The sequence below is a fragment of the Homo sapiens genome, chromosome 2 (genome assembly GCF_000001405.40).
Source record: "Homo sapiens chromosome 2, GRCh38.p14 Primary Assembly".
Taxonomy (NCBI): domain Eukaryota; kingdom Metazoa; phylum Chordata; class Mammalia; order Primates; family Hominidae; genus Homo; species Homo sapiens.
Genome location: NC_000002.12, coordinates 237,264,798 through 237,281,852, shown reverse-complemented (window position 1 = coordinate 237,281,852; position 17,055 = coordinate 237,264,798).

Genomic DNA, 17,055 nt, shown 5'->3' with positions numbered 1-17,055 from the left:
CAAGCATTTTACAGCAAAGCCTTATTAGCAAAAGGGAATTAAGTAAGAAGCTAAGGCAGGACTCATTTTACGTGCACATTAGGGCAAGGCTTTTGTCCTTTGCTTCCAGTTGCTTCCAAGTTACAATAATTTCCCTAATTTGACAGTATGTTAGAAGATGCAGATAATTTCCTTTAGGCCTCTAAAATTTGCTCACCTAGGAATCCCTCCCTGTCCTGGACTTTTCTTTACTTCATCCTAAACACAAACTTTCTCTTGCCTAGACAAACCTTGACGTCCGGTTCCCTGCCCACTCTTGCCAACAGCACCCAAGTCCTACCAAAGCCAGTGAGAGCCTCTGAGTTTTCCAACTGTGGTGTGGGTTGTTTGGATCTGTTGATTTTTAAAATGTTTTAATTCACTTTGTGCTTTGATTTTATGTAGACAGGGAGATGGTCATTCTCCGAATATTCTGATTTTCCATTTGAAAATAATTACTATTGTGCAAAGATGGTAAAGCTAAATTATTTCAACAAACCAATTAGAATATCCATTTTATGAACTGTTCTCTATTTTGGAAGAAAAATGAATTAAAACAAGACTAACATCAGGAAACTTTTCACATAACACATATTTATTACACACCCTCTGAACGAAGACGTTGTATTGGGCCCCAAGGCTCCCAGCCACTGAGCTCGTCGTGGCCTGTGGGGGCTGATTTGTCATCCAAGCCAAGATAGACATGGTTCCTGTCGTCATGGAGCTTGTCTCAGAGGAGAGGCATTGATCAGAAATGAAGTGGATTCATTAAGGGGGCCAATATTCGTTCAGGGTTAGCTCCACTCATTCCTGCCTGACCCCTGAGCCAGGAGGGGCTGAGAGATGCCCCAGATGGTGTTACCGAAGTAAAAAGGCGAACAAACATTTTAGGAAGCTTTTAACATGGGTTGAAACAAATTCAGTTAACCAGAAACCCATTCCCAATTTAATCCAGTTAATTGAGGTGTTATACAAACCCAAATATGCTTTTTGGGGAACGTCTGTATTTGCAAAGACGTCAGTGGTATATTTCCTTTGACCTGAAAACCTGGTGAGGTTGGTAACACAAGAATTGTTGGTCCTTATTTTACCATTAAGTAGAAACATGGCTTCTGAGTATTTCCTGTGTGCAGAGCCCTGTTTTCCCTGCGATGGGGTTTTTAAAAAATTGACATGAAAATGATTGGCCTTGATTACAACGTTAAAATGAAGAAGTTTCAGTAAATTCAAGTGCACAGGATGTACATTTTCCAGAGGGAGGTCCTCAGAGCCGAGACAGATCTAAGCAGCCTCAAGTGGCCACTGGGCTCAGCGTGGCCTGTGGGGGCTTATTTGTCATCCAAACCAGCGGTGTGGGTGGCTGAAGAAATTCCCACAAGCTGCAGACCACGGTTGACTCTCATGGTTTTTATTCGGTACTACGGAAGGCATTTCCTCCGAGATGATTCACTGGGGAAATTTGATATACTGTGGGGTGATGGGGCTGGTCTCTGACATTTTCATTACTGTATTAATTTTGTGTCCTCCCGACTCCTATCGGCTCCCACACGTACACAGCTGGCTATTGTTTCCCTTCATTCCAAACATGTATAACGTTTATTTTAAAAAAAACTCCAGAGCAGAAATTTACATCAATCCCTTTAAAATTCCATTCCGTTCGTTTTGGCCCGCTCTTCCAGTTTCCCACTCTGTGAATGAGCGACTTTGAGGGTGAAGGCCTTTGCAGTCCAGACTCTGCAGCTCTGTGTCACTGGGGTCCCACCATGTCACGAGCTTCTTTGCAGGTGCCCACGCGAAATGCAGACAAGACTCCGCCCAAGGTTCCAACAGACCGTCAATGAGTGGGGACAGCAGAAATCACAGGGACAAAGTTCACTTCTTATTTTTTTCTGCAATGTGTAGTGAAGTTTTTGTCTGAGAACAGATGACCATGTGGACAGCCAGCCCTGTACGGACTCCAAAGCTGGTGTTTGGAATGAGGGGCTTTGGCTTGCTGGCTTCCGTTGTGTCCTCTGTCCCCAACAAGCCATAGACCTTTTGTCTCTTTCCATGGATCCCCTTTCACCTGGCAGCGGAGTCCCTGCTGCCACCAAATGCAGACCCCCAACCTGTGTTCTGCGTCTCCCTCTGTCTCCTAAGCACCTTGACTCTACAAGTGTCTCCGTCTTTTGTAGCATCAGCATCTGTCTTCTGTGTCCTTCCCATCAGCCACATACTCCTTCATAGCTTTCGTCCTAAAACAAACAAACACCACCACCAGCAAGCTTCTTGAACTCCACAGATTACCCAGCTCCCTCTCGTTTCTCAGCTCTATGTCTCAGCCAAACCCCTCCTTCTAGCCTCTCTATAAACTGCTGTCATCAGGCTCTGACCCCACGGAAATGTCCTTTTGCCCCACCATCAGTATGCTCCATGCTGTGACTCTGTCCTCATCTTACCTAAGCTACCCTTGGTGGGCTTTAGTACCCTTGGCCTCCTCTAAAACCTTTCTTCTCCCAGCGTCCATGACTCCATGCTCTCCCGGTTTTCCCCAGAGTGGGAAGCCTTCCATCCTATTCACAGCAAAGCCCTGCCAGCTCTAGTCCAGGTCCGTCTCTGCTCTCACCTCCCTCTCCCCATCCTGCCTGGTGTCCCCTGACTTGGAGGGAGCACATGTGCTTGTTGCTATGGTGCAGGGTGGACTGCCAGGGAGGTAATGGTGGAGCCCAAAGAGCCTTCACATCTGAGATGCAGCAGGAGATAAAATGAGAGTGTTCCCCAGCTCCAATCTAAAGTAAAAATGTTACAGCAAAGGGCCTGGGATTTAGGTATGCCAATACAGGTTACAAATGTAATATGTGCTATGAAGCGAAGGCTCTTTCCATATTTAAATACACTACAAAACAATTCTGAAAGAATGTGACTAGGTTATATTCAAAACGATAGTGCAGGAGGCATCCCTCTTTCTTTAAAATTGCTTGCTTGAAGGTAGGTCATAAAATGAATCACTGGTCAGCATTTTGGCAGCCATGCTGGGGCTATGCTCCCGGGCACTGGCCTCATTTGCCTCCTTTGGAAACGAGTTGCAACTTAACTCAAGCCGAGCCAGGCAGCCTGTTAGCAATTATAATGCAATACTACAAGATTCATATCCTGTTAAGGGACTTTAAAAATCAGATCATCACTCAGAAAGCCTAGCAGTCAAGTCAGAGTTGTCAGAGCAAAATGGAACAATCAAAACCCCAGAGCGAAGCTTTGTAATTTTGTAGCAGGACAAGCCGCAGACAAATCCCCTCAGACACGGAGTTAAAGAAGGAAGGGCTTCATTTGGCCGGGAGCTTCCGCAAAACTCACGTCTCCAAAAACCGAGCTCCGCAAGTGAGCAATTCCTGTCCCTTTTAAGGGCTTAGAACTCTAAGGGGGTCCACGCGAGAGGGTTGTGATTGATTGAGCAAGCAGTGGGTATGTGACTGGGGGCTGCATGCACCGGTAATCAGAACGGAATGGAACAGAACAGGACAGGGATTTTCACAGTGCTTTTCCATACAATGTCTGGAGTCTATAGATAACATAACCGATTAGGTCAGGGGTCGATCTTTAACCAGGCCCAGGGCTCGGCGCCGGGCTGTCTGCCTGTGGATTCCATTTCTGCCTTTTAGTTTTTACTTCTTCTTTCTTTGGAGGCAGAAATTGGGCATAAGACAATATGAGGGGTGGTTTCCTCCCTTAATTTAGTTCACTGAACAAACTGGAAAAAGTGAGCCCGTTTCAACAGATACGATGAATTTGTTAAGTTTGTATTACTCTCACCTTTAACAATAAAAATCTTCAGCTTTTTACTAAAAATGTATGGAGAGAATATTCTAGATTCTATCACACGTTAGGACTGACAGATGAGAGATCTACAGCACCACACGGTTATTAAAATGATGAATGTGAGTAGAAAGCCACCATTACCCTAAACACAGCACAATGGTGGCAGTTTTCCTCTTGCTTAGGCATTTGGTAGATGGAGAAAATGAAAAGCTGGGTCAAAGTGTACATTTTTTTTTCTGTCAACATACATGCTTTTTATTGTGGCAAAGAATATTATACATGGCATAAAATTTACCACTTTAACCACTTTTGAGTGTACAATTCAATGCATTAAATATTCATATATTTTTTTGAAACTTTTATTTTAGGTTCAGGGGTACATGTGCAGGTTTTTTATATAGGTAAACTCATGTAATGGGAATTGTTGTAGAGATTATTTGGACACCCTGGTACTAAGCCTAATACCCAAATTTTTAAAAATTCTCTCCCTCCTCCCACTCTCCACCCTCAAGTAGGCTCCAGTGTCTGTTGTTCCCCTCTTTGTGTCCATGTGATCTCATCATCCCACTTATAAGTGAGAACGTGCGGTATTTGGTCTTCTGTTCCTGTGGTATAGTTTGCTACAGATAATGGCCTCCAAAAGACATGATCTCATTCTTTTTTATGGCTGCATAGCATTTGACGGTGTGTATGTACCACATTTTCTTTATCCAATCTGTCACTGGTGGGCGTTTAGGTTGATTCCATGCCTTTGCTATTGTGAACAGTGCTGCATTGAACATTTGTGTGCATGTGTCTTTGTGGTAGAATGATTTATAGTCCTTTGGGTATATACCTAGTAATGGAATTGCTGGGTTGAATGGTAGTTCTGTTTTTGGCAATTTGAGGAATTGCCACATTGCTTTCCACAATGGCTGAACTAATTTACACCCCCACCAACAGAGTGTAAGTGTTCCCTTTTCTCTGTAACCTTGCAAGCATCTGTTATTTTTCGACATTTTATTAATAGCCATTCTGACTGGTGTCATATGGTATCTCATTGTGGTTTTGATTTGCATTTCTTTAATGATCAGTGACATGGTTTTAATTTGGGTTCCCACCCAAATCTCATGTTCAACTGTAATCCCCCATGTTGGAGATACGGCCTGGTGGGAGATGACTGGATCATGGGGGTGGATCCTTCATCAACGGTTTGGCACCATCCCCTTGGTGCTGTTCTTCTAATGGTGAGTGAGTTCTCGTGAGATCTGGTTGTTTAAAAGTGTGTTGCACTATCTCTCTCTTTCTCTTGCTCCTACTCTGGCCATGTGATGTGCTCACTCCCCCGTACCTTCCACCATGATTATAAGTTTCCTGAGGCCTCCCCAGAAACTGAGCAGATGCCAGTATCGTGTTTCCTGCACAACCTTCAGAACCATGAGCCAATTCAAACTCTTTTCTTTACAAATTACTCAGTCTCAGATATTTCTTTATAGCTATGCAAGAATGGACTAATACAATCTGTGATATTGAGATTTTTTTCATATGCTTGTTGGCTGAATGTATTTTTTCTTTTGAAAAGTGGCTGTTCATGTCCTTTGCTCACTTTTTAATGGTTTTTTTTTTTCTTGTAAATCTGTTTAAGTACCTTATAGATGCTGGATATTAGACCTTTGTCAGTTGCATCATTTGCAAATATTTTCTCCCATTCTGTAGGTTGTCTGTTTACTCTCTTGATAGTTTCTTTCACCGTGCAGAAGCTCTTAAGTTTAATTAGATCCCATTTGCCAACTTTTGCTTTTGTTGTGATTGCTTTTGGTGTCTTGATCATGAAATCTTTACCTGCTCCTATGTCCAGGAAGGTATTGCCTAGGTTGTCTTCCAGGGCTTTTATAGCTTTGGGTTTTACATTTAAGCCTTTAATTCATCTTGAGTTGATCTCTGTATATAATGTAAGGGATCCAGTTTTAATTTTCTGCATTTGGCTAGCCTGTTATCCAATCACCATTTATTAAATAGGGAGTCCTTTCCCCATCACTTGTTTTTGTCAGTTTTGTCAAAGGTCAGATGGTTGTAGGTCTGTGGCCTTATTTCTGGGCTTTCTATTCTGTTCCATTGGTCTGTATGTCTGTTATTGTGCCCGTGCCATGCTGTCTTGGTTATGTTAGCCCTGTAGTATAGTCTGAAGTTGGCTAGTGTGATGCCTCCAGCTTTGTTCTTTTTATTTAGGATTGCCTTGACTATCCACGCTCTTTTTTGGTTCCATATGATTTTAAAGTAGTTTTTTCCTAGTTCTGTGAAGTATGTCATTGGTAGTTTCATAGCAATAGCATTGAATCTGTAAATAGCTTTTGGCAGTATGGCTATTTTAATGATATTGATTATTTCTATCCATGAGCATGGGATGTTTTCCATTTGTTTGTGTCATCTCTGATTTCTCTGAGCAGTGTTTTGTAAGTCTCATTGTAGAGATCTTTCACCTCCCTAGTTAGCTGTATTTCTAGGTATTTTATTCTTTTTGTGGCAATTGTGAATGGATTGCATTTCTGATTTGGCTCTCAACTTGGCTGTTGTTGGTATATAGGAATGCTAGTGATTTTTGTACATTGATTTTTGTACCCTGAAACTCTGCTGAAGTTGTTTATCAGTTGAAGGAGATTTGGGGCTGAAATTGTGGGGTTTCCTAGATATAGAATCATGTGATCTGCAAATAGGAATTGTTTAATAGGAGTGGTAAGAGAGGGCATCCTTGTCTTGTGCTGGTTTTTAAGGGAAATGCTTCCAGCTTTTCCCCATTCAGTATGATGTTGGCTGTGGGTTTGTCATAGATAGGCTTTTATTATTTTGAGGTGTGTTCCTTCAATCCCTAGTTTATTGAGAATTTTTAACATGAAGGATGTTGATTTTTATCAAAAGCCTTTTCTGCATCTATTGAGATTATCATGTGGTTTTTGTCATTAGTTCTGTTTATGTGCTCAATCACATATCTTGATTTGCACATGTTGAACCAACCTTGCATCCCAGGATGAGGCCTTGTTTGATCACAGTGGATTAGCTTTTTATGTGCTGCTGGATTCAGTTTGCAAGTATTTTGTTGAGGATTTTTGCATCAATCTTCATCAAGCGTACTGGACTGAAGTATTCCTTTTTTGTTGTGTCTCTGCCAGGTTTTGGTATCAGGATGATGCTGGTCTCATAGAATGAGTTGAAGAGGAGTCCTCAATTTTTTGGAATAGTTTCAGTAGGAATGGTACCAGCTTTTCTTTGTACATCTGGTAGAATTTGGCTGTGAATCCATCTGGTCCTGGGCTTTCTTGTTTGGTAGGCTATTTATTACTGATTCAATTTCAGAGCTCATTATTGGTCTGTTCAGGGAATCAATTTCTTCCTGTTTCAGTCTTGGGATGGTGTATGCGTCCAGGAATTTATCCATCTCTTCTAGATTTTCTAGTTTGTGTGCACAGAGGTGTTCATCATAGTTTCTGATGGTTATTTTTAATTATTTGGGGTCAGTGGTAATATCCCCTTTGTCGTTTCTAATGGTGTTTATTTGGATCACCTCTCTTTTCTTCTTCATTAGTCTAATTAGTGGCCTATCTTATTAATTTTTTCAAAAAACCAACTCCTGTATTTATTCTCTTTTGAGTGGTTTTTCATGTCTCAATTTCCTTTAGTTCAGCTCTGATTTTGGTTATTTCTTGCCTTCTGTTGGCTTTGAGGTGGTTTGCTTTTGCTTCTCTAATTCTTTCAGTTGTGATGTTAGGTTGTTAATTTGAGATCTTTCTAACTTTTTAATGTGGGTGTTTAGTGCTATAAATTTCCCACTTAACACTGACTTAGCTTTATCCCAGAGATTCTGGTATGTTGTATTTTTGTTCTCATTAGTTTCAAAGAACTTCTTGATTTCTGCCTTTATTTTATTATTTTTGCAAAAGTCATTCAGGACTAGGTTGTTTAATTTCCATGTAATTTCATGGTTTTGAGAGATTTTTTTTTTAGTATTGACTTCTATTTTTATTGCACTGTGGTCTAAGAGTGTGTTTAGTATGATTTCAGTCTTTTCGCATTTGCTGAGGATTGTTTTATGTCTGATTGTGTGGTTGATTTTAGAGTATGTGTGCTATGTGGTGATGAGAAGAATGTATATTCTGTTGTTTTTGAGTGGAGAGTTCTGTAGAGGGCTATCACATCCATTAGGTACAATGTTGAGTTCAGGTCCTGAATATCTTTGTTAATTTTCTGCCTCAGTGATCTGTCTAATATTGTCAATGGAGTGTTGAAGTTTCCCACTATTATTGTGTGAGAGGCTAAGTCTCTTTGAAGTGAGAGGCTAAGTCTAAGTCTAAGTCTACACTGTGAGAGGCTAAGTCTCTAAGAACTTGCTTTATAAATCTGAGTGCTCCTGTGTTGGGTAAATATGTATTTAGGATACTTAGATCTTCTTGTTAAATTGAACCTTTTACCATTATGTAATGCCCTTCTTTGTCTTTTTTGATCCTTGTTGGTTTAAAGTCTGTTTTGTCTGAAATTAGAGTTGCAACCCCTGCTTTTTTTCTGATTTCCATTTGCTTGGTATATTTTCCTCAATCCCTTTATTTTGAGCCTATGGATGTCACTGCATGTGAGATGGGTCTCTAGAAGATAGCATATCATTGAGCCTTACTTTTTTATCCAGACTGTCTCTCTGTGCCTTTTAAATGGGGGCATTTTGCTCATTTACATTCAGTGTTAGTATTGATATGTGTGGATTTGATCCTGTCATTGTGTTGTTAACTGGTTGTTATGCTGGCTTGTTTGTGTGGTTGCTTTATAGTGTCACTGGTCTGTGTACTTAAGTGTGTTTTTGCATTGGCTGGTAATGGGCTTTCCTTTCCATATTTAGTACTCCTTTCAAGATTTCTTGTAAGGCAGGTCTGGTGGTAATGAAGTTGCTCAGCATTTGTTTATCTGAAAAGGATCTTATTTCTTCTTTTGTGAGGAAGCTTAGTTTGATTGGATATAAAGTTCTTGGTTGAAGATTTCTTTTCTTTAAGAATGTTGAGGCTGGGCGCTGTGGCTCACGCCTGTAATCCCAGCACTTTGGGAGGCCGAGGCAGGCGGATCATGAGGTCAGGAGTTCGAGACCAGCTTGACCAACGTGGTGAAACCCCGTCTCTACTAAAAATACAAAAAAAAATTAGTCGGGCGTGGTGGCACGCGCCTGTAATCCCAGCTACTCAGGAGGTTGAGGCAGAAGAATCGCTTCAACCCCGGAGGTGGAGGTTGCAGTGAGCCGAGATCGTGCCACTGCACTCTAGCCTGGGTGACAAAGCAAGACTCTGTCTCAAAAAAAAAAAAAAAAAAGGAATGTTGAATATAGGTCCACCAATCTCTTCTGGCTTATAGGGTGTCTGCTGAGAGGTCCACTGTTAGCCTGATGGGGTTCCCTTTGTAGGTGACCTGCCCTTTCTCTCTAGCTGCCTTTAACATTCTTTCTTTCATCTTAACCTTGGAAAATCTGATGATTTTGTGTCTTGGGGATGATCTTCTTGTGTAGAATCTTACAATGGTTCTCTGTATTTCCTGAATTTGGCTGTTGGGCTCTCTGGCAAGGTTGAGGAAGTTTTCATGGACGATATTCTGAAATATGATTTCTAAGTTGTTTGCTTTCTCCCCGTTCCTTTCAGGGATTCCAGTGATTTGTAGATTTGGCTTCTTTTCATAATCCTATATTCCTTAGAGGTTTTGTTCATTCCTTTTAATTATTTTTTTCTTTATTTTTGTCTGACTGTCTTATTTCAGAGATCCAGTCTTCAACTTGTGAGATTCTTTCCTCAGCTTGGCAAAGTGTACATTTTCACATATTTATCTAACCTATGGAATTCTTGTGAGCATTTTTATATTGCAACACAAGTTCTTGAAACAAAATAGGTCATTATTCTATGTATTCAGCTTAACTTAAATATAAGGATTTATAACTGTAAACTAATCACTCTATCTGAACAATTTTAAAACCATATAATTTTGAGCTGTAATTTAAGAAAACATGCGTGCTTGCAGTCCTGTCTTCTAAACAAATACAGGTTCCCTCCCTTAAGTCCTGTCGTGTTTGAGTCTAAAGCCGTAGATAAAGGTTACTGTCATCATTCCTGTGGTAGAGGGTTGAGCTGATATTTTTGTGCTCCAGGTCACAGCTCTGTTCACAGCTACTAAATTTCGCAAGTTGAAAGTATGTTAAGTGTAGGAGTTTCTGGATATTAAATATGATCCAACATCCTCTGTGAAAATAGAGTATGATAGATGGATAATCAGGAGATCTAAATAGATAGATGATAGATCCATAGATAGATGATTAATGGATGGATATATGGATGGATGAAAAGATAGACAGATAGATAGATAGACAGACAGACAGATGGATAAGCTAGGACTAACTGTAGGAGGAGAACCAGGTATACTTGCATTTCTGTGAAAGTGACTTGTTTGTTTATTTTCTCCTGAGAGATCTTCTAATTCATGCACCTGATCAAGTATCTCCCTTCTGCTACTGGAAAGCACAGAACCATATCTAATCTCACTTCTATCAAGTGTAAGCTCATAGGCTTCATTTTGGGTGCTGATTTCACTCCTGGATGACATTATTTTATTATTTGTTCACATCTTATATGTGATTTTTCATTTTATTTAGCCTGGTGTTTATGTTTGTAAACTGTAATTTTAAAAAAGGGAGAGGTATTGGGAGGAGAAAGCAGAAATGCTGGAAAATGAAGGGAGGCCACCACCAGTCAGACACAGGACTTCTTCAGGCCCCCGTCCTTCTTTCCCAAGGCGTCTGTTTTCTAAATGAGGAAACCAAGGCACGCAGAGGATGACGAGCTGCCCAAGGGCATGCAGCCTAAGAAATCTTGAATCTGGATTTCGCCCAGGCTGGCTGACACTTACAGTCACGATCAGGTTGTGGTCACCATGGCTTCGTCTCTCCCCAGACATCAGGGTCATCTCAGGACCCCACTCAGGCAGCTGCCTCATTCTCAGTATCATCTCCTGCCATTACCTTTGTACCTGTTGGCTGTGGTGAGACATGCTGGGCCCACTCACCGTTTCTGGACTTCCTTACCTTCGTTCAGTCACTTCCTCTCTGCAAATGCTCTTCCTTTGACAAACTTTTTCATCCTCCAAACCCCAGCTGAAGAACTGCCTTCTCAAGTCTTCTCTGGGACTTGGTAGGTTTTCTTGTCTTTGCTGAGTCAGTGAATGGGAGGATAGATGTTTTCAACAGGAGGCTGCCTGCTGTGTGCTGGGAACAGCCTCTCCCAGGCTGCAAAGCTCTAAAGATGCACTGAAGGCAAAGTGCTCAGCTCCCAGGGCACCTGGGAAGCCGGGGTGTGGTGTCCCTTGGGGTGTATGAGAAGCTGCATTCACATGTCAGGAGACCTTTCACTGTCAGCAACTAGCAGGTCCCGGGTGTTGAAGTTTGCAAGGAGACAGGGTCCAGTGGACTTGTATTTCCCTGTGTCTCAGAGGCATTTGCTCCCTGTTTGGCCGGCATAGCAGGGGCCCACCCTGGAATGGCTGCAGGAGCTGGCTCTTGTGCTGCAACTTCATCTGCTCTGCTGCTTCAGCCGTATGCCATTTTTCATGGCAAAAAAGTCCCATTTCCCCTCTAGCTACAGAACTGCTGGGCTTAGGGGTAGATCCCCCGGTTGTGATAATTCTCTGCCCCAGAGGCCTGAACAGGCACAGGCTTCCCCATCCTTTCTGCTGCTCAGTTTCTGCTGAAGATGAGCTCAGACCCTCCCCTCCAATGCCGCCGAGGGCTGAACAGAATCTCCTCAGCTCTCCTAGATAGTAAAGTTCAGGTCTCACTTGCTAGAAAGCAGGGGAGGTGGGTGGGAGGCACAGGTGGGACCCCCCTACTCTGCACAATACAGCACTAAGCACAGACCCCGCTGACCACTGGAGCTGGCGGCAGTGTTTGCCATTGGAGGAATAATGGTAGACGGCAGGCTGGGTGAGAAATGGATATGCAGTTGTCAACTCTGCAGAGCACATGCACTGAAACAGTCTTAATAGGACATCGGAATAGTTATGGAGATCCATGAAGATAGGATGGCAGCTACTCTGCAGGTGAGTTGTTGAGGTGAGAAGAGGTGGAGGGGCCCAGGGTCAAACACAAGTCAGGGAGAGTCGGAGCCTGCTCCTGGGAGTGACAAGATACCTGTGCCTTCACCCTCAGGACACGTTTGCAGGCATGTCCCCATCTTTCCAGAGAAGGCAATGGTGAGAGAGAAGAATGACCTTTTCTGGGATAGGGGCTGAGGAGCCCTAGCCTCTTCTCCCCAGGCAGAATGCATGACTACCAAGGATTCTGCCAGTAGGCGCCACAACAGAGACTTCCAGGCCAGTTTCTTTCCCACTTGGCAGGGAACCACCCAGAATGGAAAAAGAATTCAAACTTCAATTTAGAGTGTTGTGACTAGCATTTTACAGATGAAAGCACAATGAAAAAGTCCTAGCAAACTGAGTAGCCCCTTTGCCTATGTTTGTAGGGAAAAACACTAATATTTACTAAATCCTTTCAAACATAAGACTGTGGTGTTTGTCTTCAGTGGCTTCATTTACATATTCATTAATTGGGATTTCTTTTCACAGAACTGAGATTATTTATTATCCAAGTGAATAAATATCACAGCTCAAAGCATTTAATCACATGGTAATTGCATCCGGCTGACTGATGGTTGTTTTCTTTGTGTATACCCAATGCTGTGCTTGGGGCAGGCGTTATGTTTAGGAAGCCTCTTTATTGTTTGAATTGAAGGACATGGAAAGCAGGGAAAAGAGCAGAGGTGTGGGGCGAGTCATGCCTGGGATCCATGAGCTCCTGCCTTTGGGAATGCCGACACACCGGAGAACTTTTCTGGGCCTCACATCACACGTAATATGTCAGTAATCTCAGTCTCAGAGGGTTGTTGTAAGAGCTGCCTAAGGATGCATACAGAATGTCAGGGTCGGGCCCAGTGGCTCACGCCTGTAATCCCAGCACTTTGGGAGGCTGAGGTGGGTGGATCACCTGAGGTCAGGAGTTCCAGAGCAGCCTGGCCAATATGGTGAAACCCCATCTCTTTTAAAAATACAAAAATTAGCTGGGTGTGGTGGTGGGTGCCTGTAGTCCCAGCTACTCAGGAGGCTGAGGCAGGAGAATCACTTGAATCTGGGAGGCAGAGGTTGCTGTGAGCTGGTATCATACCACAGCACTCCAGCCTGGGCAACAGAGTGAGAGTCCGTCTCAAAAAAAAAAAAAAAAAAAAAGTCAGTAGCTACCCTGCAAATGAGGATGCTTGGCTTTTCTAACTAGGGTAGGATTCCGCATGTGCAGGTTGTGGGCTCAGTGTGATCGTGGTCTAGCTCTGTTATTCCCAACACCGCTTTTGTGGAGCAGGGTCCAGTCATGATTCCCTTTTACAGAGACGGGGACTGACTTTCCTAAGATCCCACAACCAGCTTTGGGCTGAGCTGGGAGTTGAACCTGGCAATGTGGACCCAGAGTCTGAGCTCTTTGTCTCTCCAGGATCACATGCAAATAAGAGGTCTGGGCAAGTGTGAGGCTGTTCCCTGCAGCCTGCCCAAGAGGACACAGTAGGAGGCAGGGCCAGAGAACGAGGGTGGACCCAAGTCTCTGGGCACCAGGGAAAGAGGGTCCCAGAGGGGTAGAGGAAAGTGAGGAGAGGGCAGCAGAGGTGAGGGAGAGAAGGCAGGGCCTTCTCAGGGTCCCCCAAGACCCCACTGAAGGAGCTTCTGGGATCTCCTTGTGCTCTGTGAAGAGGCCCCTCCTTCCAAATCCCTGCTCATCAGCACTGACTGCTTGGCCAACGCTGGATCCAGGGTGTCCAGTTGGAAGCTATTTCAAGAGTTGTCCTTGATACGTTAGAGACGAGGTCTGGAAACTTCCAGAAGAGGCAAAGGCCTTACCCAACATGACAGGTTCTGAGATATTTTCTTTGGCATACAGTACTTAGTAGTTGATCCAAACTTATCATCATTCATTCCTAACAATTCCAAAAAGTGCACCAAGTATAGAGATGACATTGAACCTGGGCAGCCAGAGGGCTCTATGAAAAAGCTATTTCCATAGAAATAGGCTCTTTACCGTAGAAACTGCATGAGGTCACTTGGAACAGAAATAGAACTGTTTTCACCTTATTTGTTCCAGAATAAAGTGTCTTTTAGGCATTTCTGTCGATTTTTAGATGAATAAAAAAAGCTGTGCTGTTATGTATAAAGATAAAAAGCATAGACAGTCCTCACTATGCTTATGTACCTTACTGGTCTTCCCAAAGAAAATTGTTAATCATTTTTTTTTTTTGCAGATGAAGTATAACTGATTAAATATCAAGGAAAAATAAGATTCATGATTTACAGCCTGAAAAACAATATATTTGGTGAAAAGAAAATCTATAAACCTATAAGCCAAATAATTTGTTTCACATGATTATGGATATCTTGTCTGTGTCTTTTCCCAAGGATATTTCATTTTTTCGTAAAGAATTGGAGAGAAAAACTATTTTAACAATATGTTTATCATAAAAGTAATCACTATTCCTTTAAGGAAGACTGGAAGAATAGAGTATAAAAGATAAATTAAGGGCCAGGCGCAGTGGCTCATACCTGGGAGGCCGAGACGGGCGGATCACCTGAGGTTGGTAGTTCAAGACCAGCCTGACCAACATGGAGAAACCCCATCTCTACTAAAAAATACAAAATTAGCTGGGTGTAGTGGCATTTGCCTGTAATCCCAGCTATTCAGGAGGCTGAGGCAGGAGAATCACTTGAACCCCGGAGGTGGAGGTTGCAGTGAGCTGAGATTGCATCACTGCTCTCCAGCCTGGGTGACAGAGTGAGACTCTGTCTCAAAAAAAAAAAAAAAAAAGAAAGAAAAGACAAATTAAAAACCAGCCCAAACTCTACAATGTATTGTTGACTCCAGGTGTGATTTTGATGTCTCTCCTTCTACTCTTCATTCTATGTTTCTAACAAAGTGTAACAATGTAGCTAATATTTTGCTTTTTTTCTTAAGTTTATATTCTCAATATTGATATTCTCTTCTGTTTTTAAGCAAAATTATAATTGTATGCGAAACAAAATTAAAATACTATTATATTGAAATAATTTGTAAATTTTGTGCTTTTCTCCACATAACATTAACATATATATTCATTTCCATGTCATCGAATTGGCTGTAACCCATCACTTCCATCATTAATATTTGGTGTAAAATCTTCAAGTGTCTGTCCATACATGGATGTACCAGTTGACTCTTGAACATCACAGGGGTTAGGGGTGCTGATCCTGTGCAGTTGAACATTTGAGTATAACTTTTGACCCCCCAAAAAGCCTAATTACTAATAGTCTGTTGCTAACTAGAATTCTTACCAATAACATACAAGGTCAATTAACACATATTTTGTATGTTTTATATATTATACAGTGTATTCTTAAAGTAAGCTAGAGAAAAGAAAATGTGATTAAGACAATCATAAGGAAGAGAAAATACACTTACAATTTATTAAGTGGAAGTGGATCATCCTAAAGGTCTTCATTCTCATCGTCTGCATGTAGAGTAGGCTGGGGAGGAGGAGATGGAGGAGGGGTAGTTCTTGCTTTCTCAGGGGTGGCAGAGACAGAAGAAAATCCATGCATGAACCTACCTGCACAGTTCAAACCCATGTTGTTCAAGGGTCAGCTGCACAGGGAAATGCATTGCTATTTTACTTAATGTTGGAGGGGAACTGTTTCCTCAACTGACTCCCCATCAGCACAATTCCTGTAACGTTTGCATGAAATCCCATTACTGGGACTTCTTCCAGTTTTTCGCTGTTTTAACAGTGAGGTGGTGACCAGTTTCGTCTCCATGACTGACTACCTTTAGAATAATTTTCTAGAAGCCTTTCAGCTGGGCCAGAGGACATGTGGCCATATTGCTCTCTAAAAGGCTTAAACCAAATTGCCTTCTCCCAGTTAGAGAATAGTGAAGTCCACTTCTCTGTTTTGCCAACCAAAAGATTCATTCATCTTTTTTCATTTTTTACCTAGTATTTTAGAAATGATTATCTTAATTGCTTTAAATTTCAATTCTTTGATAAATGAAACATTTTTCATGTGTTTATTTTCCCTTGTATTTTACCTTTGTCATCAAGTAGTTTGCCTTTTAAAGAATTTGTATATATGTATCTTTGCCTTCATGATTCATAAATGATTTTGATATAAGAATATCAAACCTTTGCCATTTATTTTGGTGCAATTCTTCCTACTTAGTTATTTGCCTTTAAACTTGATTATAGTGTTGCTAGATATGCAAAAAATTTATAATTTATGTAGAAAATCATTTTTTCTATGGTTTGGCCTGAGGTTTTGTTTTGAGAGGTTTTTGTCACCCTTGGATATCATAAAGTCAGCTAAGTCTTCTGTAGTTTTGTATTAATACCTTTAATTATTTAAGATCTATTTAATGTATTTTAAGTTAGAGAAACAAAGACATAGTCTGTAGGCCTAGTGTGAAACTAGAATATTTTTTGGGAAATAGTTAGTTTTCCTGGTAGCCTCCTTTACCTGTTCATTTCAAGTATCACATTTCTCTACTATTTATGTGGGAAATGAATTCCTGACAGTGTACAAAGCTGATGTGAACCCATGGGCACTGAGACATGCTCTCTGGTCACATGTGACCCTGCACACTCCTCTTTTCTAGGAAAGGAGTTAAAGAAAGTCAGGGACTCTAGGCAGATCTGATTTTTCCTTTGCCCCTGATACGCTGGGTGGCTGTGAGTGAGTGCTCTAGCTTTTCTCAGGTCCAGTCTCCTCATCTACAACAATGAGAGGCAGGACATGAGATATTTCTGTTACCTTTGGCTTGAAAGACCCAGGATGCTGGACCCAAGAGGCGAGAGGAGCCCAGGAGCGGGCTGGAGGCCTTGGGGAGCTGGTGGAGGGATCGTCAGCTCTGTGAGTCAGTGCTGTGGCGGGTACCCAAACCAGTAGCTGCAAAGGCTGGTGTGAACTTCTGTTCAGAGGATGCGTTGACGGAGGAGCCCGGGTGACTCACTGTGCGCGGCTTGCACCCACCTGAGTGTTTGCATGCTTCCCGCCATCGTTTTTCTATGAAAGGATCTCAAACACGGGGCCTGCTGGCCACATTCTGCCCCAAGAAGTTTTATTTGTTTTGCAGATAAAAAAGTTGGTCCACACGGTGGGGATTTTTTGGGTTCAATTTATCATGAAATTTGTTGC